General features: G+C 43.4%; 1 protein-coding gene across 14 annotated transcripts in view, besides 2 other annotated features; it reads right to left on the bottom strand.

Annotated features, from left to right (window-relative positions):
* The window catches only part of KIZ (kizuna centrosomal protein), a 120,648-nt gene that overhangs the window by 1,412 nt on the left and 94,025 nt on the right, over nucleotides 1–25,211 (bottom strand). For 11 of the 14 annotated variants that reach the window (NM_001276389.2, NM_001352436.2, XM_011529296.4 and 8 more), the window contains 3 exons: nucleotides 16,096–16,200; nucleotides 12,381–12,477; nucleotides 923–966 (listed from right to left, as the gene is read on the bottom strand). In NM_001276389.2, the coding sequence (NP_001263318.1) occupies nucleotides 923–966; nucleotides 12,381–12,477; nucleotides 16,096–16,200 (246 nt within the window). Of the gene's footprint in view, nucleotides 1–59; nucleotides 967–12,380; nucleotides 12,478–16,095; nucleotides 16,201–25,211 lie in introns of those variants that run through there. The other 3 variants (XR_001754334.3, XR_007067468.1, XR_937105.4) reach the window with 2 other exon arrangements.
* Nucleotides 8,617–11,059: an enhancer, noted in NCBI's record as "VISTA enhancer hs914". NCBI's record gives its function as "enhancer in: forebrain[9/10]" and the evidence as "EXISTENCE:transgenic organism evidence [ECO:0001131][PMID:17130149]".
* Nucleotides 20,569–21,082: an enhancer, noted in NCBI's record as "H3K4me1 hESC enhancer chr20:21204767-21205280 (GRCh37/hg19 assembly coordinates)". NCBI's record gives its function as "activates a minimal SCP1, AML or CMV promoter by ChIP-STARR-seq in naive H9 embryonic stem cells {active_cell/tissue: H9 hESC(naive)}" and the evidence as "EXISTENCE:reporter gene assay evidence [ECO:0000049][PMID:30033119]".

Below are 25,211 nucleotides of genomic sequence, written 5' to 3'. Positions count from 1 at the left end.
ATACTGGGTTAGCAAAGTGGGACATACTGGGGCTAAATAAACAGCGAATATTTTTGTTATTGTCAGTAAAACTATTAATCAAATTATACCTTTAATTTAAGGTATAAGGGGTTTAAGGAGACAGGAGGTGAGAGAGCCCAAGCTGGGCAGGGGATATGCCACAGTGTTATGGTAGGAGGGCTAGATTTTTCCCGTGAGTTGGGTGTTGAAGGATGAATAGGAGCTCACTGGGCTGAGGAAAAGGAAAAGGAACTCCCTACAGAAGGAACAACATGGGCAAAGGTACAGAGGCATAGGTGTGCTACAGCTGAAAAAAGCTGACTGTGGCTTGACCCAAAGAGGCGACCTTGGGAGGAATAAGCTGGAGAGCAGGGCTGGGGCCTCCCAGGAATGGAGAAAGCTCAGACTCTACCCTGAAGGTACGGGGAGGCATTGGCCGTCCTTACACAGGAAGGTCGGGGGAAGCCAGGGTTTGGAGGCTGGTGGCCAGGTGGAGGAGCTGGGAGTTCCCAGGAGCTGGGAGGAACTGGGTATGAGGAAACCAGTTAGAGTTACTCCAAGAGCCTGTCCGGTCATGAGCAATGGGTGCTTCTGAGGATGAGGAGAGAGGCAAGAAACATTTCATTGGTAAAATACAGGGTGCTGATAATTAATTAGACATGGAGGCCAGGATCCCCTGCAAATTCATACTTGCAAATTACAATGCTCTGCCCCTGTGGTCCATGGCACCCGTGTGGTCCTGTCTGTGAAGAACTGAGCCTCCAGAAGCCCTCAGGTTCCACCCCAGGGACAGCTGCAATGGCAGTCCCTGTGAGCATGCCCGCTTCAGGACTCACATGAGGGTGCAAACAACAAATGCATGTCACAGAGTTTTTTGGTTAAAACAGAAAAAGAAAATCTAGTGTCCGATTATCTCTCTCACCATTAGATTTTAAATTGATCACGGGTTTCTTTTTGTTTTCATGCCTGCAAAATAAAGAAACAGTCTAAGTTCTGAAAAAGAAAAGACAATGAGACTAATATTTTCATAATGAACGCATTAGAGAAGAAGCACTTTGATTCACTGGAGGCCAGAACTTTACACTTACTTCCCAGAGTTTAAAAGTAAAGGGAAAATATCGGGATGCAGCGTGGCCTTGTCGGGAGGGTCGCTACTCAACAGCATTGCTCCCGTCCTGCGTGTGTCCCCTCGGCAGGTCTGCATGGCCCACCCCGCCCTGCTGAGCTGTGCCTGTGTGGGGCCACGTGTTCTTGGGGGAGGATGATCGCATGTTCCCCTGAGGCAGGGGACCGGTTTCCCTCAACAGTCTTCTGGAAGACAGTGATGCATCAAACTTCAGTGCTTTCAGGCAAGCTAAAAATGAAACACTTGCAGTAGGGAATTCAAGATGTTGGTAAGGAAGTTAAAATACTTAGTCAAACCAGTGGCAGCAATACTAACAGTTAAGAAAGGAGTTCAAAACAAACACCTGGTAGAGGGCCCTGCAAGTGTCACATAAATGCTAGTGTTCGTGGCGTCCAGGACCGTCTCGACTGAGGCCAATATGACAAGAAAACTGGCTCCACGGGATATGATTTCTCTGTGTGCCTTTTCAGGAGCTTTTGCAATTTTAATGAATTTAAAAGTCTCCTCAGGGAGTGTCACTCGAATGTTTTATGATGCTGAGATTCTTTCAGAATTGCCTGAATGGTCACAGGAGATGTTGGGAGAGAAACCATTCTTGGTGCATGGCTCGACACTTTGCCCTACCCCACGCACCACCACCGCCCTTCTCACAGCCAGGGCCTTGTTCTTCTGGACACAGGAAACCCTGCAAATATATCTTTTCCTTCCCTTTGGGCCAAGTGTGGTTGACTTTTGGCTTAAAAATCTACGTTTTGCTATAATTTACTTTTTTTTTTCAGAAAAACATGCTCCACTAAGGTATCATTTTCTAGGCTACCTTTCAGTGTTCCCTTTAAATTTAGTGCCTGTTTCTTTAATTGCCATGACTGAGTAGTGCTCACAGCCATTTCTCCATGAAGCATGGAAGACCCCTACGAGCATCTGGAAAGGCCAGCAGCTGACTGACAGTCCTGGAGCTGCCAGGATTGTGGGGACCTGTCAGTGAGGTGAGCCTGCAAGAACCCATTTTACAGAAAGTGACACACACATCACACACACACTAAATGCAACTGCAGGGATGTCTATTATTTCCCCACCTCCCCCTACCTGAGGACACTGGGCTAGGTGCTGCAGGGGAGGGTGGATTATAAAAATGCTAGGAGGGGTGGAAAGAGGCTAATTTGCCAGCCGCGGTCCATACAAGAAGAGCCACAGGGGGAGCAGGAGAGATCTCTGCCAGCTGGGTGGATGGAGAGCACTGTGGCAGGTGATTGGGGGAGCTGCAGGACCACAGAGGAAGCCCGGCACCTCCAAAGGCAGAGGCCTTCACAGGACAGGACTGGGGAACAAGGTGTGGCGGGGTGGGGCAGCAGGGAGCCCCTGACACAGGAGAAAGGACACAGTGGCAGGTGAGCTCAGCTCCTCCCGTCTCAGCAAATGGCACCCCTGACCCACTAGTCTCCCCAAGCCCCTCTCCAGTCTCCACTCCTCTTTCCTTCACATCCAGTCTGGCCCTCGGTCCTGCCAATTCCACCCCCACCCCTCTCGACCCCCCTGCAATACTTCCTGCAGTCCTCACCAGTTCCCTGGGCACTGCCAGTACACTGGTCAACAAAACTATCAGCTCTTGCTTCTCTCTCTGCAACAACCTCCTAACTGGTGACACACACTCATCTTGTCCCCTACTATCCATTTTCCACTAGGCAATGAGAGTGAGCTTTCTGAAATGCAAATCTGGTCGCTCCACTTCCTCGCTTAAAATTCTTCAATGCCTTTCCATTGATTTCTGCACAAAGACCTAAATCCCAAGCAGTGCCTCCAAGGTGGATCCCCCAGGAGTGTCGTGCTGTCCTGCTGGAGCCTTCCCACTTCTGACTCCCTATCTTTACCACTGAGTCCTCGTCAAGTTGCTGTTTCACATCCACTTGTGCAGCCAACTGACGTGCCAGTCCTCCCCCTCTGAACTGCAAGATCCATGCGGGTAGTGACCACACCTGTTTCAGCTCACCTGGGTAAGGCGGTGCACAGCACTTAACAGGTGCTTAATGAGTATGTTCACTTGGAATGAACAAGCGAACTTCACTAAGCATAGGGCCCTGCTTAAAGGCATTTGATCAATATTCAATTATATAATACTTGATTTACATATTTCTATTCAATATTGCACTTCAGAATCAAGTTTCTTTGGCTTCCCTGCTGGCAAAGAAAAAAAAATAAAAACCCAGAAAAGCTGAAGCAGAAAAAAAAAGGAAAAAGTCATGCACAAGGCTGTAAACACAGACACATGAGAACATCTATGCGAGTGTGTGTTAGTCGTCACTTAACTCATCAAAAGCAATCAGCCAGCAATGCTGAGTCCCACCACGGAGGTGACCCACTGAGCATTTCAGGGACCTCACTTCCGCATGTGGCACTCTAGGAAAAAATGATTTCCTGAAGCCATGTCTCTATGAGGCCACTTGAACTTGCTTTTTCTGTTTGTCCTGTGGTTACACAGTGTAGCTTTGAGAACATTTAAGCCACAGGGAGCCAGTAAACATCCCAGTGAAATGTGAATTAATTGTGTAATGCAGGGAGCCAGTAAACATCCTAGTGAAATGTGAATTAATTGTGTAATCGTTCTTAATTGTCTGTGTGATTGGTTTTCTCACAGGAAACATGTTTCAGAGCTAAATGTGCGTGGTGCGTGGCCTACCCACGGAGAAGGGCAGAGCGTACTTTCCAGTGTTTTGTTCTCCACTCTCGTATCTAAGGAGCAATTATTTTTCCTTTTGGGAAAATCTCTGAAAGTAAATGTGACCCTGCAATTCATAGTTGATTTTTTATTATACAGAATTCTTGGGGCCAACATTTTTTTCTCTAGGTCATACCTAATATGTAAAGCTAAGGCAAGGCTGATGGAGAAGCCTGAGAACTTTCTATTGTGTGCTGGATAGAGCCAACTACTTTGGCTACTAGAGTAGATGAAAGAAAAACAAAACTGCATTTCAGAAAGTAAAAGAAATCAAAGAGTTAAGGTTGTAGGCCATGAGATATGGTCACCATGTGGTCTTATGTGCTCAGAATCTAACTGTGTAATGTTTGCTGAGAGTGTAGAAGTAATGTTTCCATCTTGTAAGGCAGACGTTGGCAAAGGTTTTCTGTAAAGAACCAGGGAGTAAATAGTTCAGGCTTTGTGGGCCATATGGTCTGCCGCAACTACTCAACTGTGTTTGTAGCACAAAAACAGCCATGGACAATTTGTAAACTAAAAGATGTGGCTGTATTCCAATTAAACTTCACGTATAGACACGGAAATTTGAATTTCATATACCTTTCAGGTGTCACGAAACATTATTCTTTGAATTTTCTTCCAACCATTTAAAAATGTGAAAACCACTCTTAGCTTGCGGGCCGTATGGACTGAGGCAGTGGCCTGGGCACGGCCCAAGGGCCACCATTGTTGTAAAGAACTGCCTCACATGAGGCCCATGCTGCAAGCCAGAGAGCCTGCCTTTCCCCCGCACCATGGCTCAGGAGCGACTCTTGGAACCCCAGAGGGCAGACTTGGTATTTTTTCCCTAGAAGTTTACAACTGGACTGGAGGTCCTACTTCAAAATAAGCCATTTTCAGGCAAGACACTGCAGATGATTAACTGAGTAAATTAAAATATAACCATGTTCCGCCGGTCTCATTTGAATGGGACAATCGGCTGGGTGTGGTGGCATAAGCCCAGCACTTTGGGAGGCTGAGGCGGGTGATCACCTGAGGTCAGGAGTTCGAGATCAGCCTGGCCAACATGGTGAAACCCTGTCTCTACTAATAATACAAAAATTAGCCAGGCATGGTGCTATGTGCCTGTAATCCCAGCTACTTGGGAGGCTGAGGCAGAAGAATCGCTTGAACCTTGGAGGCAGAGGTTACAGTGAGCTGACATTGCACCACTGCACTCCAGCCTGGGTGACAGAGCGAGACACCGTCTCAAAAAAAAAATAGTTAATTAATTAGTTTTAATTAATTAAAAAGTAATGGGACAATTATCTCTGCAGAATTTCCCAGTAGCTTTGGTCATTTTTTCTCCCAGCTCTACCAGGAATGTCCCATTCCCATTAGGGAGATGCTCACTTGTTACCATTCTGCTGTACTGACTTCATCACATCTCTCCCCTCTGCCTAGCCATTAAGCCATCTTATTTTGGATGCATTTTGGTAACTGCTTATAAATTCCCCTGCTACTGATAAACCAGATTAGGACAATGCTAATCAAAGTCACTTGTGTTCTCAACCTTGTTAAACTTAAAAAGTTAGGGCCAGCCAGGACTTCAACAGAATAGGTTTTATCCGAGAGCAGCCCTGGCACACAGTGAACACTCTATACGTGGAGTCAGGATGACACAGTGCACTATGGAAAACAGTAACAATTACGTGTCAGTTGTTCATTTTATATGAACAAAAGGCTAACGTAGCTAGAATTGGTCTACACAGTCAACATCAATATAAAGTTAGTAAGAATTACTGACAATAGGTTTTGCTTTGTGGAGCCAACAAGTAAAGACAAAAATGAGACACAGAATACCCAAGGCCAAGAAACCCACTATTTAATTAGAACACAGCATTCACAGATTATCAATCCAGAGCCTTCACTGTGCAGTGGTTGAGCCCAGAGAGGTTAAGAGATGTGTCCTAAGACACACAGAGCGAGCCAGCAGTAGAGCAAAAGTGGAACAAAATGCTCCTCCTGGGACACTCCTACAAATGTACACGTTGTAGACACCCGCCCCACAGGGCCTCCTGAGAAGCAGTAAAACAGTAGGGCAGGGAGAACCCTGCCACAGCATGTGCCTGGCTATGTGAGCTGCTTTCAGAAGCTGAGACAGAATCAGCTCTGGGGCCAGAAAGACTCTGCTCACTGCATGATCCTGGGCAAGTTCCCTACCTCTCCAAGCACCAGTTTTCTTGTCTGTAGAATGGGGACAGTAATGCCTTCCTGGAAGTGTTCTGATAAATTTACAGACAATCCTGTGTGACAGCCTGCAGACAGCAGACTTCAGTAAGCAGTGCCACTGCACTGTCAGCACATTTGGATCAACAAAAGCATGTACTCAGTTTGCTGATGTGCAGCCGTGGGTTCTAAGTGGAAGTGATGAGTACTTAGGCACAGGGGTCAAGGAATGGGAGGTTTGGGGACAGATGGAGGGAAGGCAGGCCTGAGATGCGTGAAGTTTCTTCCTCGAGGAACCTGATGAGTGGGTGCCCTTGAAATGGGAAGAGACAGGGAAACTGCCTCAGCCAGGCCTTCCAAGAGCAGGGGCAGAGCAAGGCATCGGACTCTGTGCTGGGGCTGCAGCAGCAAACAAGACAGACTCGCTCGATGCCCTTGAGGTGCCCACGCTCCGGTGAGGAGACTGACACCAGAATAAACACCATGAAATTGGCTGAAAAGGCAACAGTGGGGTTGGCTGAGAACTGATGACAGTGGAACTGTGGGATGACATTCCAGGCCTCCAGCATGTGCCAAGAGCTCTCATCAAGGTCAGGGCCCGAAGCCAGACACCTTTCCATCAGCAGACAAGACAGCAGCCAGGAAAGAACCCCAGTGAGGCTCTCTGCAAGTGTGTTCACCCAGGTCCTGCTTCCTGAAACTGGGGATGCATGAGCAGAGGGCATATTCACAGTCATTACCAGTCTCCCTTTGAAAATGTATGTGTCCACACACACATTCACACACACACACACTCTCTCACACACTCACACCCTCTCACACACACACACACTCTCTCTCTCTCTCTCTCACACCCTTATGCAGATAACTGTACGAAATGCATGATTCCCTGCAGCTCAAGTACATGATGCCATACAGAAGTGAGGGAACTTGTACAAACTGACTTTTATTTAAAAAAAAAAAAAACAAACTAGAGTGAATGGTGGAGCTATATATCCATGCTTACTCACTCAGGAAGCACAATGACTATCCAGCACTGGTGATTAAGAAACCTGCCGCTGGGCATGGTGGCTCGCCTATAATCCCAGCACTTTGGGAGGCCGAGGAGAGTGGATCACCTGAGCTCAGGAGTTCAAGACCAGCCTGGGCAACATGGCGAAACATCATCTCTACCAAAACCACAAAAAATTAGCCAGGCATGGTGGCATGTGCCTGTGGTCTCAGCTACTTGGGAGGCTGAGGTGGGAGGGTTGCTTGAGCCTGGGAGGCAAAGGTTGCAGTGAGCGGAGATCGTGTCACTGTACTCCAGCCTGGGTGACAGAGCGAGACCCTGTCTCTAAATAAATAAATAAATGAAACGAAGCCTGCCCCACTGCGGGAGGGAGGGTACTGGGAAATGGCTTCTAGCCCTGACTACAGATGATAACAGAAATAGCTAGGGGGACCACAGGAAGGGCATGCTGTGCAGCCAGGTCTCCGCTTAGGAAACGTTCAGAAGGTTAAGCCTTGAAAAATCTAGAAGGCCTTAACCAGGTAAAAGAGTGGGGCAAGAGCATTCCAATAAAATCCAGGGACATGAAATAGTGGGTCATACGCGGGCATGACATGCGGTCTGGTTGTTAACTGTTCTTCAGCAGGGGGACAAGGGGAGCTGGCTGGGAAGGGTGTGCAGTGTGCAGACTACCCGTGCTTGACAGAGGTGCAGGCAACAAGGGTCTCCTGAGAGGTGTGTGGCAGCAGAGGTGGGTGTCAGATACTCATTCCTGGCCCAGGGCGGGAGCAGGGGGTGGAATTTGGAGGAAAGAACAGAGGGAAAACCTAATGTTAGTAACACATTGACTCGATTTCATGGTCAATATCTATTTTTTTTTTTTTTTTTTTTTGAGACGGAGTTTTGTTCTGTCACCCAGGCTGGAGTGTAGTGGCACGATCTCGATGCACTGCAACCTCTGCCTCCTGGGTTCAAACGATTCTCCTGCCTCAGCCTCCCGAGTGGCTGGGATTATAGGCGCCTGCCACCATGTCTAGCTAATTTTTGTACTTTTAATAGAGATAGGGTTTTGCCATGTTGGCCATGCTGGTCTCGAACTCCTGACTGCAGGCGGTCCACCCACCTTGGCCTCCCAAAGTACTGGGATTACAGGTGTGAGCCACCGCACCCAGCCATCATTTTTTTTTTTTTTTTTTTAAACAGAGTCTTGCTCCATTGCCCAGATGAGTGCATTGGTGCAATTTCAGCTCACTGCAAGTTCTGCCTCCCAGGTTTATGCGATTCTCCTGCCTCATCCTCCCAAGTAGCTGGGATTACAGGTGCACACCACCACACCTGGCTAATTTTTTTTGTATTTTTAGTAAAGATAGGGATATTCACCATGTTGGCCAGGCTGGTCTTGAACTCCTGACCTCAAGTGATCTGCCTGCCTCGGCCTCCCAAAGTGCTGGGATTACAGGCATGAGCCACTGCGCCTGGCCTGTCATATCATTTTTTTAAAAAAAGAAAAAATAGCCATGGCCCATTAACAAATATACCCAAGTTATTGTGACTCTGAGGCCTCACCAATTGAGTGTGGCAATGAGACTCAGAGGGTCCTGCCAGGAGCACTGTCTATGATGTCCAGGATAAGGAGGAATGGCTCCCGGCAGCAGGAAGTATCCTTCCAGTTCTGGAGTCTTATTAGAAGGCTGAAAATAGCTAATTTATTATAAGACATAGTCTTTAGACTCCAAATTCTAAAATTTGTAATAATTTTTGACTGCTAGTGGAAATCAGTATTACAATTTCTAAAGGAGCAATTTCAGCTTGAACGTTCCTCAAAACAGACATATGTTTCTGAAAAACAGAAGGCAAAAAATAATCCAGAAAGAAAAAAATCCCAATGACTATGCCAACAAATCTCTGTAAACACTAATTTTAGGTTTTAAAGGCCTACCAGTAATTTAACAAAGTCTGAGCGCCCCCTGATGGTTAATCGGGGTTCCTACAGAAGATGCCACTTTCAGCTGCCTGAGGTCAACTTAACTTTTTCTCTTCAAATAATCAAGCGATTGTTCTTATTTGCTTTGTGCAGAAAAAACAACGTATGTAGGCTTGTGATAAGAAACGTGACATATTTAGGAAGCTGCTAATTCAGTGGAATTTAAGAATGGAGATGTGCCAAACCCAAGACAGAGAAGAGTGCTTTTATATAAGAACCTAAAGGACTTTCAGGAAAAACTCATTTTTATTTCACTGGACTATTGGTTCCTTATAATCTTTATGTTATCCTGGGGAAAATGGCACAGTGACCAGGCAAAGACAGAAAATGCCACCGCCATCAGAGCATCAGCTGCAGGCTGGCGCCCTCCACTGGCCGCTCTGGTGGCTGCAAGGCTGGCACAGAATGCCACCCACGGTGGCCCTGCCAGGGTACAGTGGCGGGGTGACTTCTGCTACCTTTCCCCCAGGCAATTATGTTGCAAGCACACACCCTTTCCTTTTGGTAAAACATTATCTGGTCCAACCAGTAAGCTGAAGTTACAAGGCAGGAACCAGTAAGCTAAGGGCAGGCTTTTAAAATATACTCTCCATTGAACAAATGGATCCGGGAGAGTGAAAACCGCTTGCTGGGGAAGGTAAAGCGAGACAATGTTTGCAGAGGAGAGGAAGCTCTGGCATGCACCCCTGAACAAAAGGGAACAAGTGGTCTTTACTTGGAGAACGGCTTCCTATTAGGACTCACTCCTTCGTACATTATGCTTTTCATCCCCACTCAACCACAAAATGATTTTGCTGAAGCAAATACAATGGTAGAAAAAGATTTACACTGAAAGAATCTTTAATAATAAACTGTTGCCAATCTGCCTACTTGCCCGTGATTTATAATACAATAAACATCGGATTCTATTACGGCTCATGCACTGAAGCTGCTGCTCTGAAAAACGGAATATGAAAGCACCCGAACCCCACCACCATCACAATGAAATGAGCATGTATAAATGTGCTAAGAGTATCTCTTTGCATCTTTTATAGCTTGTGTGTATTAATCTGTAACGCTTATTAAGAAAGTCATTGCTATGCAAAGCAGCACCCAATCCCTTTCTCTGGCTTTTCAACAGGAGTGCACTGTTTAGCCAATAGGACGGACCCTCTGGCCCTCATTCTGCATTCATCACAGGCAACATTTGCACAATGTATCTCTCAAAGGCGGCTGAAAAGAAGGCCTTAATACTCATGTAAACAACTGCAAACCAATTACTTAATGAATCAGGCCCACACATAATGAGGTGCAGACAAAGAGCTATAAATGCATTTTTGCGCCCAAGCCGCTGCTTTAAAGTAAAATCCCTCAGCTGTAGTTTGGGCTTAACTAGCACATCATAATTATTGTCTCTAGGACATCAGAGGAAGCCATTTTTTTTTTTTTTTTTTTTTAGGTCCAGTGGGTTTTTTTTTTTTCTTTTTTTGAGGTTGCTCATCAGCTCACTGACAAAATAGAGCAAAGAAGAATTTTAAAAGTGCTACAGCAGCACTGCACTGTTATGTTTATTCTCAAGTACCGGGTTTCGAGACCACTTGTAAAAGCAATAAAGCACAAGGAGTGACTGCAGTAAGTGGGATCCTTAAATGTAAGCCTCTAAGAAATTTCAGTGAATCCAGCACAAACAGCAAAACTGGAGCTCTCCAAAGCCCAGGGTGGCATATGAACAACACCAAGCCCAGCACAAGAACCAAACCGTGACAAACAGCACGCCAAACCCACGCACTCTGGACCCAGACCTTTTCATCACTGGATTATTATCAAGTGCCTAGAACCAAGAGTTCCTTCAAGGCCTTTTTGTGTGGTTTTTTTTTTTGTTTTCTTAAAGGGGATGATGAGATTACTTGTAATTTATTAGGAAATTAATTTCATACGGAAACGATACTAATAACAAAATACCTCTGTCTCAATTTGAAGGAGGAAAATGCTTGATTTTAGTTTAGTAAAATATAGACAAGATGTGAAATTATTAGACTGAGAAATGTTTTACAAAATCCAATTGCTTTCTCAATGTCTTTAAAAATTTCCCAAAGAACCTACGTAAAGACTGTTTAGGAAGAAGTGAGTTTTTTAGTGCCTCTATATATTATTAAGCCAAATGGTAACATTCGGCCCTGAAAATTATCTGTAGAATTTACTGTCTTTTAAACTTTCTTTTAGGAGACCTAGAACTTGAATTTATAATACAATCATAATAACATAATACTTTAACACTCTTCCTGTCCCATTTACCTCCCACTTCCTTCAAAAATATGGACGAAAACTCAGGCATTAAAAATAATAACTTCTGAAAATTAAATGAGTTATTTCTCTAAAACTTAACTTGTCAAGTTTCTAAAACTTATAATTTTAGAAATTCAATCTCATTTTAATATACTCCAGGTTCTAAAAACATTGTATTGTTTATAAAATATGAATAAAAATAGGATTTTTTTCATTTAAAAAATTCAGCATTTCTGGTTCAAATCATTTTCTCTTATGGAACATTATATGTTATACTAGAAATGTAAAGTTCCTGTTCTAAAATTTCATCAGAGACAAGCAGTTAATTCAAATGTAATATAATCATCTGAAGGACACCTTTTTACTGAGCAATGCTGTTCCAAAAGGAAAGTTGCTATGCCATTTTAAACAATATTTAGCTCAAAGCAAAAGAGTAGGGTATTTCATCAGGTGATGGCTTATATTCCCATCTATAAATTCTAAGTGACCTGAAGCTACTGTGATTAGTATTTTATGTTAATGACAAATTCAGCACACAACTCTCTTATCACAGCTCAAAAAACCTACAAGAAGCGAGTGCTACAGTTTGACAAATGTGAAAAGATAAATTTTGTTCTTTATGGAAAATAAGCAAGAAAGTATTAGAAAAGGAAAGAATAACCTAGCCTAAACACTTGGTTAAAAAAAAAGAGGAAAATAAAAATGAATATCCAGCAATTACTAGTTTATATATTAGCCATCACAAAAAGAAGAAACATGCCACTTTATTTCTTTTAAGGCCTGATGTTTTCTCTCTGCCCTTTTTCTGACAACCTCCATTGTGTGGTCTCTAAGCAGTCCTACTGCGAGCAGCTGTAGACGCTAATTTGTGGTTCACTGAGGTGTCAATTGAGTCTTAAACCAAGGAAACAACAGCTGCAAAACAATACTTGGCTCTGGTGCAAATATTTTCAAAGGTAGACTAAAGTTTCAACTGTTATTTTAGATAAACAAAAACCCAAACCATAACCCTCCAAGTCATACAACAAAATAATACGCAGCCAGAGTTTAATTCATTGCGCTGTGACATTTCTCATCTTGTTGCTGCTATTCAGAAAGGCTTTCACAACTTTACCTTGACAAAGGACTTCCTTCACTAGATGAAAAACTAGCTTCCGAAGCAATTTTGTTAGCTGTCTTTGTCTCGAATGCACCGCTGCCAATATTCAAACCTGTGATAAGCGTAAACATGGAGAGTGAGGGTTAGCTGTCATGCAGCCATGGGACAAAATGAATAAAGTGGCCTCACAGTAAGTTTGGTGAAACAAACGCCAACAGAGGAAGATGCTGTTCAAGCCACAGAAGGCAAGGGAGCTTCTGAGGCAGAGAATGAAATGCTGGTAGAATACCGAAAGGGAGTGAGGCACTTTCCTGTGATACCGAAACACAAGCCACAAAAAGTGAAAACTGAAATCATCCAAAGAGTTCAATTTTAAATGACTAAGATGCACATGTAGGCATATGGATCTCTACTGTGTCACAAAGCACTGGATAATTCCCATTGTTATAACACACGGGCAGCAAACCAGGGCTCAGAAATAATTGAGACCCATGGATAACAGTCACCCACCTTATCCACTCTTAAGCCCCTCTGTAAAATCCTCTATTTTCCATCCCACAGAGGAGAAAGAATCTCCACTGAAAATCATCAAGGCCACTCTTTACCAGCCTCTAAAGGTTGAGGAGGAGGATGCACACTCCACCTCTTTCTTTGGAGCCAGAGACTTGGATATTCCCACAATGCCCCCAGTTTGCAGGGCAATCCCTGATCTTTGCCTCTTGGGAGTTCTCAGCCTTGGATGTTTCTGCTACAGGTCTGCTTCTTAACTGGCAGTCAAAATCACAGATACAGCATGCATGGGCATCTTTGCAAAAAGCATTTGCTGAGTTTCTAACCTGTAACCTGCCTGCTTGCATGTACACTCTGCAGCAAAGTGATTATTTTAAAAATGTGTCCACATTCAGCCCAAAGAGGGTGTCCACATGCTTACCAGGAGGAGGTCTTTTCAGACATGAAAACTAAGCCTCAAGGTTTATTTAAGTGGCTTTCCTTCAGGTCCAAAGACTCAGAAGTAAGTGAAACATGCACTGCTTCTTCATTAGTTAGATGTGGGGTGGGCTTCTTGAGTGCAGAGTACACCACCACCTCCCATCCCTGCTACTTCTAACAACACTGTGAAGCTGCCCTACACCCTCCCAGCCCACTTTCTGCTTTTCTTTGGGGCTCAGATAAGTCCTTAGGATCAGAATGAGAGTAAGGGTAAAAGACAAAACACAGCCAAAGGATCTGACTACAATGACAGTGACAGCAAACATAGGCAGGAGCACTTCCATGATTCTACTGCCAGAAAATTTGGAATCTTGCAAAACATGTAGTGTAATTTTGAGTATGGGGCAAGGGAAATGAATTTAGGGGTGCTTGACTACACAACCTAGAGTGTCATTTCACTTATGAATAAATTAATAAAAATGCATTAAGTACAAGGTTATTAATAGTACCATAATCCATAATTTCTGATACACATCGAAGGGACTAGAACTTATATGTCAAATTTACTCATCTTTTTGTTTGTTTGTTTTTTGAGACAGGGTCTGGCCCTGTCACCCAGGCTGGAGTGCAGTGGTGTGATCTCAGCTCACTGCAACCTCTGCCTCCTGGGTTCAAGCCATTCTCCTGCCTCAGCCTCCTGAGTAGCTGAGGCGCCTGTCACCATGTCTGGCTAATTTTTGTATTTTTAGTAGACAGGATTTCACCATGTTGGCCAGGCTGGTCTTAAACTCCTGACCTCAGGTGATCCGCCTCCCTTGGCTTCCCAAAGTGCTGGGATTACAGGTGTGAGCCACAGTGCCCAGCCAAATTTACTCATCTTTTGCATTTGTCCAATTAACTACTGAAAATAACACTTACCAGAAACAGACGTGTGGAGTCACTTGCCAAAGTGTGTGTGTCAGCTATCCAGCTGAAAGGCTCTGAGCACGGTGTTACTCTCCTGGGGCCTCATTTGTAAAATGGGAGTGTTGAATACATTCTTTCTAATATCCCTCTGGATTCAAATTCCATGACTCAAATGTGAAGAAGGTCATGGAAAGCAAACAGTTAAGAGTTTGCAAGTGACGACAACCTCCATCAGGACAGAGGCCCTGTTTTATAACTCAATAAACTACAATGTCTTATGTTTGCTGAGTTCAAATCACCACTAACACCACAATGGCCGGCTCTCCCAGGGGGCTTTTCACTATTAGGCACTGTGCTGGGCACTTAATGTGCATTGGTCACCAAATCCTCAATACCACCAAAATAACTGAATTTTGCCGCAACTGACTTTAACCACTAATATTATCTAGGAATCAGCTCTCCAAACACAGCTAAGTCTGATGTACTGTAAGTATGTCCCTTGAAAATATCTGTCTGAAAAAGACATTTTTTGTTTTCCTTTTTAGATAGGGTCTTGCTCTGTTGCCCAGTGCAGTGGTGTGATCATAGCTTGCTGCAGCCTCAAACTTCTGGGCTCAAGTGATCCTCCCACCTTAGCCTCTTAAATAGCTGGTAGTATAGGAAGATGCTAACACGTGTGGCTAATTTTTAAATTTTTTGTAAAAACAGTGTCTTGCTATATTGCCCAGGCTGGTCTCGCACTCCTGGCCTCAAGCAGCTCTCTCACCTTGGCCTCCCAAAATGCTGGGATTACAGGCATGAGCCACTGTGCCTGGTTGAAGAAGACATCCTTGAGACAACTGGGAAATCTGAATATGGACTGGGAATTACATGCTATTTAGAAATCACTGTTCATTCTGCTAGATGAAATTATGGCATGGTGGCTAAGAAAGTCATTAATGTGGATTTCCTTCTGTATTAATCCATTTACTCTCACAAAGGAAACTGAGGTAACTTATACTCTAAAAACTGGTGTAATGAAAGGAAAACCACTGAAAATAATAGACATACAAATAACAAAGTATAAAAAAATTACAATTAAAACAAAATCTTAAATTGAAGGAACTATAATTAAGCTTAAAATTTAGCTTTCCTCACTGGGCATGGTGGCTCACACCTGTAATCCCAACACTTTGGGAGACCAAGGCAGGTGGATCGCTTGAGTCCAGGAGTTTGAGACCAGCCTGAGCAACATGGCAAAACCCTACCTCTACAAAAAAATACAAAAATTAGCCGAGTGTGGTGGTGCGCACCTGTAGTCCCAGCTACTTGGGAGGCTGAGGAGGGAAGATTGCTTGAGATTGGTAGGTTGAGGCTTCAGTAAGCCATCATGCCATTGCACTCCAGCCTGGGAGACAGAGCAAGACCCTGTCTCACAATAAAATAAAATGAAATAAAATAAAATAAAATAAAATAATAAAATTTAGCATTCCTGGGATTTATAATCCTTTCAGTAAAAGAACTCAAAATCCCCCAACATTCTGGTGAGGGAAAGCAGCCCAGTACAACACTGCCCACTGAATGACTAAGACACTAGTAGCTGTGGGGAAGAGAAGGAATTTGGGTGTGTCTTCTCAGGGTCACTGGTGACAAGTCACTATCATGACATGCTTGGCAGAATCCAGGGCCTGGAAGGGCCATTGCCATGCTGGCCAGCACATGTCTAGGACACAACAAAAGGGCTTTTCCACATGTCCATTTGCTAAGGATAAAAAAGTACTAGCTCATTCTGTCCTGGTGACAGCTCGTTACAGAGCAAACTCCAGAAACCTTCATAAAGAATAACCACCCTTCCCCGAACACAGCCCTGCCTGCCACTCTGGGCCCCTGGACACTGCCATCTGCTCTTACTTACCTGACAAGTGTGACACAGAAGCATCTGTCTTTTGAAACCTGTTTTCAGTTTGATTTGTATTATCCTGAAGGGTGGCCTTCTTCAGCAACTGATAGGCTTCTGTTTCTGTTGATTAAAGAAAAACACAGAAATATTACATTTTTTACTGGCCAGAAAGAAGCTTTTTAAATTCTTCCTATGAGATTAACACTTCTTAAATGCATGCAAATTATTATTTTTTGAACTGTCACTTTTTAGACATTCTGAAAACAAACAAAAAACAATTTAGTTGAACCCGGGTTTCAAGACTCAAAGACAAGCTGTATGAGTTTATTTGAGGCAGCCAAATCACAGTCATTATTTTGAGTGGGTCTGTGGATAGGTTCCCCATCACAGCAAAACAGTTTCACTTCCCTCGGGGCCTTGTAGAGACAGCTACGGGAATGAACCAGAAGAGAAAGCAAGTCTTCCTAGGTGGTCAGGTCACTTAGAAACTCTCTTTGCTCTGGCTCTTGGGCTCTCACACTCAAGTGCAGGGGCTCTGGGACAGGGCTGGGGGAATGGGGAGAGGGTCAGGAAGGGTGGTGACAGCTGGATGAGCTCAGAGTCCCAAAGCTGAGGAAATCTAACCAAGTCTTGCCATGGGGAAGGAGCGAGAACGGGTTTGTAGAGAGCAAAGCCAGGTGTCCACAGGGATCAGTGGCAGCCTGCACCTGCTCATGTTCATAGGATGCTCTTGGCCATGCAGGGCTTCTAATGGCATCTGCTATAAGTGAAATTGGGGAAGACTGTTGGGAAAAACAGTAAACAAAAATACGTAAAGAACCTGAGTGACACAACCTTCCCCATTACTCTAAGTTTCAAGGGCACCCAGATGAAATGCAGGATGAAGAATCAGAGTTTCAGCACAGACATAACAAAACAGCATCCATGTCTGCATCTTCAATGTAACACAAAAGGAGTCCCACTGTCAATGCTAGGGGCTGGCAACAGGTTGGATTCCTGCTTTTGCTGGCTTCATTTAAGAACTTAACCATGAGACCCTATTACTGGATTAAAACTACCATCACACTGAAGAATAAAAATACAACTTACCTTGCCCTACTGAAAATCAGTCAAGATAAAAATGAGTATTTAAAATGAACATTATACTTTGGAATATTAAATAGTATATAATTAAAATATATACAGATCAGGGATTCTTTGCTCTGAATATAATAAATTCTAAGGCAACACTTTTTTAACATTGCTGGATTGTGAAATCAGTTTAGGTCGCTGAAACTAGTATTTTGAAAAATCTGATAAAGAAAACATCAGACACAGTGCATACAGAGGGGAAAGTACTGTTTTGTGTAATGTGTGTATGTGTGGGGGTCGCTGGGACGAAAGTGTTTCCTGATGAGGCTGGTCGCATTGTCCTAGGATGGCTCCAATGGGATGGTGTTGTGATGACCTCCGGCTAATCCTAACATCCATGTTACTTCAAATATACTGTAAGGTAACTGTGAAAGAGGGATAATATTAATAAAATCAAAGACAGAGTGTCTGAATTCTAAAGGTAAGGAGTCAGTGTAAAAGAGGTAAAAATGCCCTGTTTTGTTTTTATTTTATAAAAATCAACCAAAAAGTTTTTCAGCTCTCAAGATACAAGTCCAGATCTTAATGACCACGTTATTTCTACATTCAATTAAACTTATTTCGTCAAGGAAAAGATAGCAAAGATGGAAATTTGAAAAAAAAGGAGCAGCTTCTTGATAAACAAAGCCTCCTGGCCACTGGAAGCTGGAGCGGCATGCTGCAAATTCATTTCTCCATTGTCTGAAGGTAAATCACTTGACTCCAGTGAGACGGCTCTCCTGCTTCTCAGAAACCAGGAAAACGTGTCACTGGCAATCAGAAGGGGATTTCTGTGAGAAATATCAAGCTAGTAGTCCTGAGGTAATTTCAGATTTGGGGGGGATTAAGCATTCTGCCCAAACAGGAGAAGGGCTGATAGTATTACTGGTTTGAAGTTAGCAAGGGAGGAAATTACCAATGTGAAGTGAGATCACTTCTAGCAACAAGGGACCATTTTGATACTCTGGAAAAGATGAGCCCTTTCTATGCTCCACACTTTCCATTCTGGTCCCCCTCCCTTCCTTCCTGAAGAGTGTGGGCTCAGGAGCTTTTGGCTAACCACCCATCCTGAGATGGCTCACTCTCCTGCCCCACGCAACCAGAGCCCACCACTTCCCAATCACCTCACTGGTGTTTCATCCTTAAGCCTCTGTGGCCCTTCTCCAAGGAGAGTCACCGAGGCCCACCTGGGCAGTTTTTATTTGGGATGCAGCTGCCCTGACCTGAGTCCTAAAGGGCTGGCGAGATCAGGCTGAGGACTGCTGGGCACATCACTCACCCCCAATCCCAGTGTGATTCCCTCCAATGGTCTAAAGGCAAAGTGAAGTTTAAAAGGTACAAAGATGAAGTGCATTCACCCAGAGGAATGACACTCACTGAGGCAGGACCACAGACGTCAAAGTTGCGGGAGAGGGCAGAGCGCCTAGCACTGCTGCCGCCCAACTGTGGATCAGATGCATGGGAGATGGAGTCGCTCTCCCTATGCATCACCCCCCTATTTAGTCAGAATTGTTGCACAAACTATTTATGAAAGACTGAGAGATGATCTACACAGGAAAAACAAAATTAATAAGGGTTGGCTAAAACAAATTAGAAGTGATTAAAGAATACATAGTCTGCATAGAACAAGGTTGGAGAAGGGAAGGAAAGTTCAGATATTGCAAACAGACTGGACAGGGTGGGCATTGTGGATCCAGATGCCTCTAGGGCCAACCAAGCAAGTACCTCCAATAAGTGACTATGGCCAGGCAGGAGCAGCAGGAAGGGCCTGCCCTGTAGCAGGCAAGGAGGCACATGACTTGTCTATAGAGCACAGCTGCTCCTTGGCTTCAGCCAATTGCTGCCTGGTGGGAAAGTGGTCCTGGTCTTGCCAGACTTCTGCCTTTTCTTTCTTCTTTTTAAAAATAAAACACTGCACAGACAAAACAGAACATATTTGTAGCCTCCAAACTAGATGGTAGTGAGCAACTTTTTGTGTTCACTGAAAGTGGTACAAGAACACTTAGGGAAAAACTGCAGCCAAAGAATACAAGCTAGATGTTAGGAAAAGCTTTCTTGTTGAAAGGGTTGTTGGAACATGTTACCCAGGGAGGATGCATCAGCTGTATGAAGATTTTTAAGGGGCTGTCTGTATCAAACAGACCAGGTTTCAGACTGGAGGCAAGAGTGTACTTTTTCTAGGAGTTCTCAAACAAATCAGACATCCTCCTGAAACAGCCCAGAAGACTTGGCCAGGATGCTAGTTTCATGAAGCAAGAGTGTAAAGTTATGGACATGAGGTGTGTGGCAATTCAGGCCCAGGATTTTTTTAGAAGGAAGAAAGACAGTGATGAACCAATCAGTTAAAAGCTCCACTTTGTTGCTGCTCTGCAAATTCATAGTTATTAAATGAATGAACAAATAAAGGAGCAAAAGTAATGACTCTAGAAGTTCAAGTTAGTCTGTTACAAACAAGGTAGGGACAAAGTCGATATATTTCCAAGGTGAAAAGAATTTAGTTTTCTCAGCTGCAAGTAAACTGTAAGTCTGAAAATTTGAGGATTGGGTGGTTGCTTTAAAGGTTTCACTTTCTAGCCTGACTTAGAAATCCAGGGAAACACTTCCCCCCATTAGTAAAGTTAAACTCTCAGAAAATACTGAGTAGTGAAAATGTTTAGATAAAACAAGCATTTCTAAAGAATACAATCATTTTCGGTTGGAATGTTCTGATACACACAGAAACAAACACACACGCATGCTCAAGGTTTCGGTTCTGAATCTTTCGTTCAAGCATTGATTATATACTCAAATCTGCGTCAAGATTTAGTTTAAAAAGTAGAAAATATTGTAGTTTAAAATGTAAGGCAAGGCAAGGGGGGCCATCTCATGCAGTCTACAGCTCCAGAAGGTGAAAATCTATCCTTGTCTATTCACTCCTGACTGATGACATGAGATAAATGTATTTTCCCTTACTTTGTTACATAAGCTGCCTGAACCCAATCATCTATCTTTCTGCAAAGTGCTGAAGGATTGCTGAGACTGTTTTTTTTTCTTTTTGATATGCGTTTTGTGTATAGAAAATAGAAACAGCTACAGAAAGAAAGTGAAAACATGCTGAATAAAGAGGTGGGAGAGAGATGATGTTAAGGAGAGGAGAAAGAAAAAGCCTCAACTTCTTATCTTTTTTCTCTTTTATATGCAAATGTACACCTGCTAAAATACTTCTAAATCTACAAATAAAAAGAAAATATCTGATGAACAAGTGCTTTTAACACCCCATTACAAGAGCCAGACAAACACGTGGTTCACCAGTCTCTAAGGGGTGTCTTGGAGGCAGGGAATCTGCCCATTGCTTTTGCAGAAATCCTTAATGAAAAAAAGAAGAGTTGGGCTCAGAAAAAAACAACAAAGGGAGATGCAAACAATACTATCACTACAGCTAAAAAACCGACCTTGAACCAACAGAGAACTGGGTATGTTTGAGTAAGGAAGGATAACTGCTATTTCTATATGAAGTTAAAATGAAATCTGAAAAATATTCTCTGTCCACTGAATTTCTCAGCATTGTTACTTTTCACATATTTCTACACCTAAGTGCTTTTTCAAATTGTACTAGGTGTGTTGCTGACACTGCAAACTTGGTCATTTTTGCAAAATAAAATAAAAATTGTGAGATATATTTCTTAAGTTACTTCAAAAGATAAATATTATCACTGAGAATCCAGAAATCATTTGCCTAGTAATCTGCTTAAATAAAAATAAGGGCCGGGCGGGGTGGCTCAAGCCTGTAATCCCAGCACTTAGGGAGGCTGAGGCGGGCAGATCACCTGAGGTCGGGAGTTCAAGACCAGCCTGACCAAAATGGAGAAACGCTGTTATCTGCACCACTGCATGGTGGCGCGTGCCTGTAGTCCCAGCTACACGGGAGGTTGAGGCAGGAGAACTGCTTGAACCTGGGAGGCGGAGGTTGCGGTGACCCGAGATCGCGCCATTGCACTCCAGCCTGGGCAACAAGAATAAAACTCCATCTCAAAAAAATAAATAAATAAAAAATAAGGAAATAAGGCCGGGTGCAGTGGCTCACGCCTGTAATCCCAGCACTCTGGGAGGCTAAGGTGGGTGGATCACTTGAGGTCAGGAGTTCAAGACCAGCCTGACCAACATGGTGAAACCCCGTCTCTACTATAAATACAAAAATACAAAAATTAGCTGGGCATGGTGGCGGGCGCCTGTAATCCTAGCTACTCAGGAGGCTGAGGCATGAGAATCACTTGAACCTGGGAAGTGGAGACTGCAGTTAGCCGAGATCACATCACTGCACTCCAGCCTGGGTGAGAGAGCAAGACTCCATCTCTGAAAAAAAAAAAAAAAAAAAAGAGAGAGAGAGAAAATAGGATATGGCTGCTTTTGCAATTCTGAAAATACAGAAAAGTCATCAAATATATTTAGGAATTTTTTTTTAAAAAGGCAGGAAGATACACAAGTTTGGGTCCGTAACCAGAATCACTTTTCACATCCAGACTTTCTGCAATAAACTCCACTCCACCTGTAGACCTGGGCCTGCAAATTCCATTGTCAAGGTTGCTCTCTGCACTCTCAGGAAGACGGCTGATGCACGAGAAGAGACCCGCCTAATTCAGATGAGTTGTCTGGGGCTGCTTCAGAAAATAGAAATTTATATCATAGTCTTAACTTCTATGGGGCAACTCAACAATTAAACCTGAAAACAAATTCCAGGCTTGAAACTGACCTTTAACCAACATTCCCAAAACGAGCTGAAACACTTTTGCGTCTTGCCATTTAACACTGTTCAGTCGTGAGAGGTGGATTTTCAACTCTCAACCTCAGGAAACCTTTAACTTTTCAAAACTTGAGTAATCTTCATCAGAAAGCTGTATTTTATTGATTTAAATAGCTTTTTAAAAAACAGTATATTTTAGCCATTTGTACTCAATGATTTATTTAATGAGAGAAATTAGAAATGGCAATCTTATCTTTACCATTATTTATAGTAGGTTCAGGAATAATTACTGTAGAAGATGAACTGGATGCTAAAAATGTAAAATATGAAGAAGTCCTTCCTCATTCCCTGTAGTTGGTTGAATAATGTTGTTCCCCTCAACCCGACAAACTCATGTCCTCCCAGAACCTCAGAACGTGACCTTATTTGGAAATAGGTTCTTTACAGATATATTAGTTAAGGTTCCCTAGATGAAATCATTCTGCATTTACAGTGGCCCCTAAATCCAATTTCTGATGTTCTTCTAAGAAGAAGAGCAGACACAGAGACACAGAAGAGAAGGCCAAGTGAAGACAGAGGCAGAGACAGGGCTTATACTCCCACAAGCCAGGAGCCACTGGCTAGCACCTTCAGAGGCAAGGGCCCTGCTGACGCCTGGATTTCAGACTTCTAGCTCTCAGAACTGTGAGAGAATGCATTTCTGTTGTTTTAAGTTTGTGATACTTTGTTACAACAGCCCTAGGAAAATAATACACTCCAACCCCTCATTTTATTAAAATATTTAAAGCCTGATTTTGTCTCTGAGTCTCCTGTGTAAAATGAGGGTGCTTCAAAACAGGACCTACAAGGGCTCTTTTGAACTGAGACCCCTGCTCCACAGTTCTCAAACCTAAGAAGTTATCTGGATGTGTTATAAAGTACTTATGCCTGGGTGCCACTCCCAGAGGTTCAGAAATAATTGCACAAGGGTGTGGCTGGGGCATGGGTATGTTCTAAAACTCTACATGGGATTCTACCATGAACCGCTGGGGAGAATTTCTCTTGGCATTTATGAGTTCATCTCTCTGAATATAGAAGCATCCAGTCCAGAAGACCCTTCAGAAAAGTACCTTTTATCCTTTAATGACCATGTTAAATAAACAGCACTGCCCTGCAATATAATGAGGACTGTTTTGCTACCGCAAGTAGCAGGCAGCAGGCTCCATGGGTGAAGCCCCAGCAGGCTGACCCCTGGCACAGAGACAGGGCCACGTGGACTTTCAATGGACAATCCAGCAACACACAGTGGTTCCCCTGGTTTTGCACAAGCTGGGGGTTTCCCGTTCCAGGCACAACAGGTAATATGTCTTGACTGAGTCTTGTCAGGAAAATGCTTTGGGATAGGACAGGTGAAGCACATTCTCGGTAAAACCTCAGTACTAGTGGTGTTATGCCACTGTGCTTTGGGAGCCCAAAGTCATCACTACAGTCTTTCCTCCCAGGATAAATCCAGTCACCAGTGACAACCTAGCCACTATATCTTTCCAGCCCTTTTCCAAATTGATGTAAAACTCAAGCAATCATGTTTTGGGAAGCACTGCCTAGAACTCCAAGTGGCACCCTCCAAATCTATACTGACCTCCTGGAAAGACTCTAAATGGATGTCTTAGTATTACCCTGCATATTTCAGCTTGCCAAAGAATATCCACGAGGAATGGCACAGTCAGGCAACCACTTTCAACACAGCTTGACCAAGAGAATTGGTGTCAAAAGAATGAGAGTCTGAATGGACATTCTTAGAGGCTTAATCCTCTTGAGATAAAAGCTGAGAGCCCTTTTCACATGGAGCTTAAGGAGACTAGTTTTGCCAGGATGGGCACGTGGGGTGGGAAAAGTATTGGTGGAGTGCATGACTGAAAGAGATAGTATTCTATCCTGAATCATCAAGCATTTAAGAAAATTCCTTAATATCCCCATTTTTATTCATTTGACAAATTAAGTGCCCACTCTGTGCCAGATACTGTGCTAGGTGCTGTATTTTTATGACATTTAGCATAGCTGCATCATCTGCTAAAGCTAAAACTCACTTAATGCTGAAAGGTAAATTTAGTGTGAATACAAATAAAATTGTCAATGTGGGAAATTTTCACTTTGCGGATGTAAGTAGTTCAAAAGGCAGACTTTCTCTCCCAATCTAGATAAGCATCACTTTCCTCATGGCCTGAGTGTTTCAGGCAAACTGACCTACATAGTAGGTCAGGAAGTGTTTCAGGGAAACCGACCTCCCAGCAGCCCAGCTGGGCTCAGGTTTGCCCCACTTTATAAAAGGCCTGCCTCTCGGGATGAGCTGCATTTGAAAATCCTTGCATGCTGCCCACCTCTCCAGGCCTAACCCAAGAGAAAGGAAAGGCAAGCTTTGTTTATCATTGCTCTCAGAAGCAGCCTTGCAAAGCCCATCTTCTGTTATGATGTACACTGATGTTTAATTGATCCGGACATCCTGATGCAGTTGTCTTTTTGGTAAAATAAAAAAGGCAGGGTAGGCCGGGCGTGGCGGCTCACGCCTGTAATCCCAGCACTTTGGGAGGCCAAGGTGGGTGGGTATCTTTAGGCCAGGATGCGAGTACAGCCTGGCAAACGGGGCAAAACCGTCTCTATTAAGAATACAAAATTAGCCAGGCTTGGTGGAACATGCCTGTAATCCCAGCTACTCAGGAGGCTGTGGCACGAGAATCGCTTGAACCCGGGAGGCAGAGGTTGCACTGAGCCAAGATCGTGCCACCGCACTCCAGCCTGGGTGATGGAGTGAGACTCTGTCTCAAAAATAAATAAATAAATAATAAAAAAACAAAATAAATAAAAGAGGCAGGGCAGTGAAATGGAAGGAGTTCAAGAGCCCAAATCCTAAAGTCTGAGTTCAATTCAAGATCAAACACACCAGCTACATGGCCTTGAGCAGGATACCTTTCTAAGTTTCTGTCTGACCACTTGTAGGGTGAGTACTAATGTTTACCCTATAGGACTGTTGTAAAGGTTAGAGATGAGGGAGGCTTAGTGAGGGCAGGGATACCATCTTTTGTGGTTTCTGGTATCCCAGGATTCAGCCCACGTAAAAATATTAATTTTATTAACTAATATAATTAAGGATTTTATATATAATCATCTATAATGATATATGATATATAATATATAACTAATATATATTGTATCAATACATCTAATTATATACTACTTATTATATACAGAAAACCATACATTTATAGATATAAAAATTCATCTTTGATTTCCACCTGGATTCTTTAGTGAACAACAACTAGACTAA

This window comes from Homo sapiens, chromosome 20 (assembly GCF_000001405.40).
Source record: "Homo sapiens chromosome 20, GRCh38.p14 Primary Assembly".
In the NCBI taxonomy this organism is placed as follows: Eukaryota; Metazoa; Chordata; class Mammalia; order Primates; family Hominidae; genus Homo; species Homo sapiens.
The sequence above is the reverse complement of the archived record's forward strand: the minus strand, read 5'-3'. Positions and strand labels throughout refer to the sequence as shown.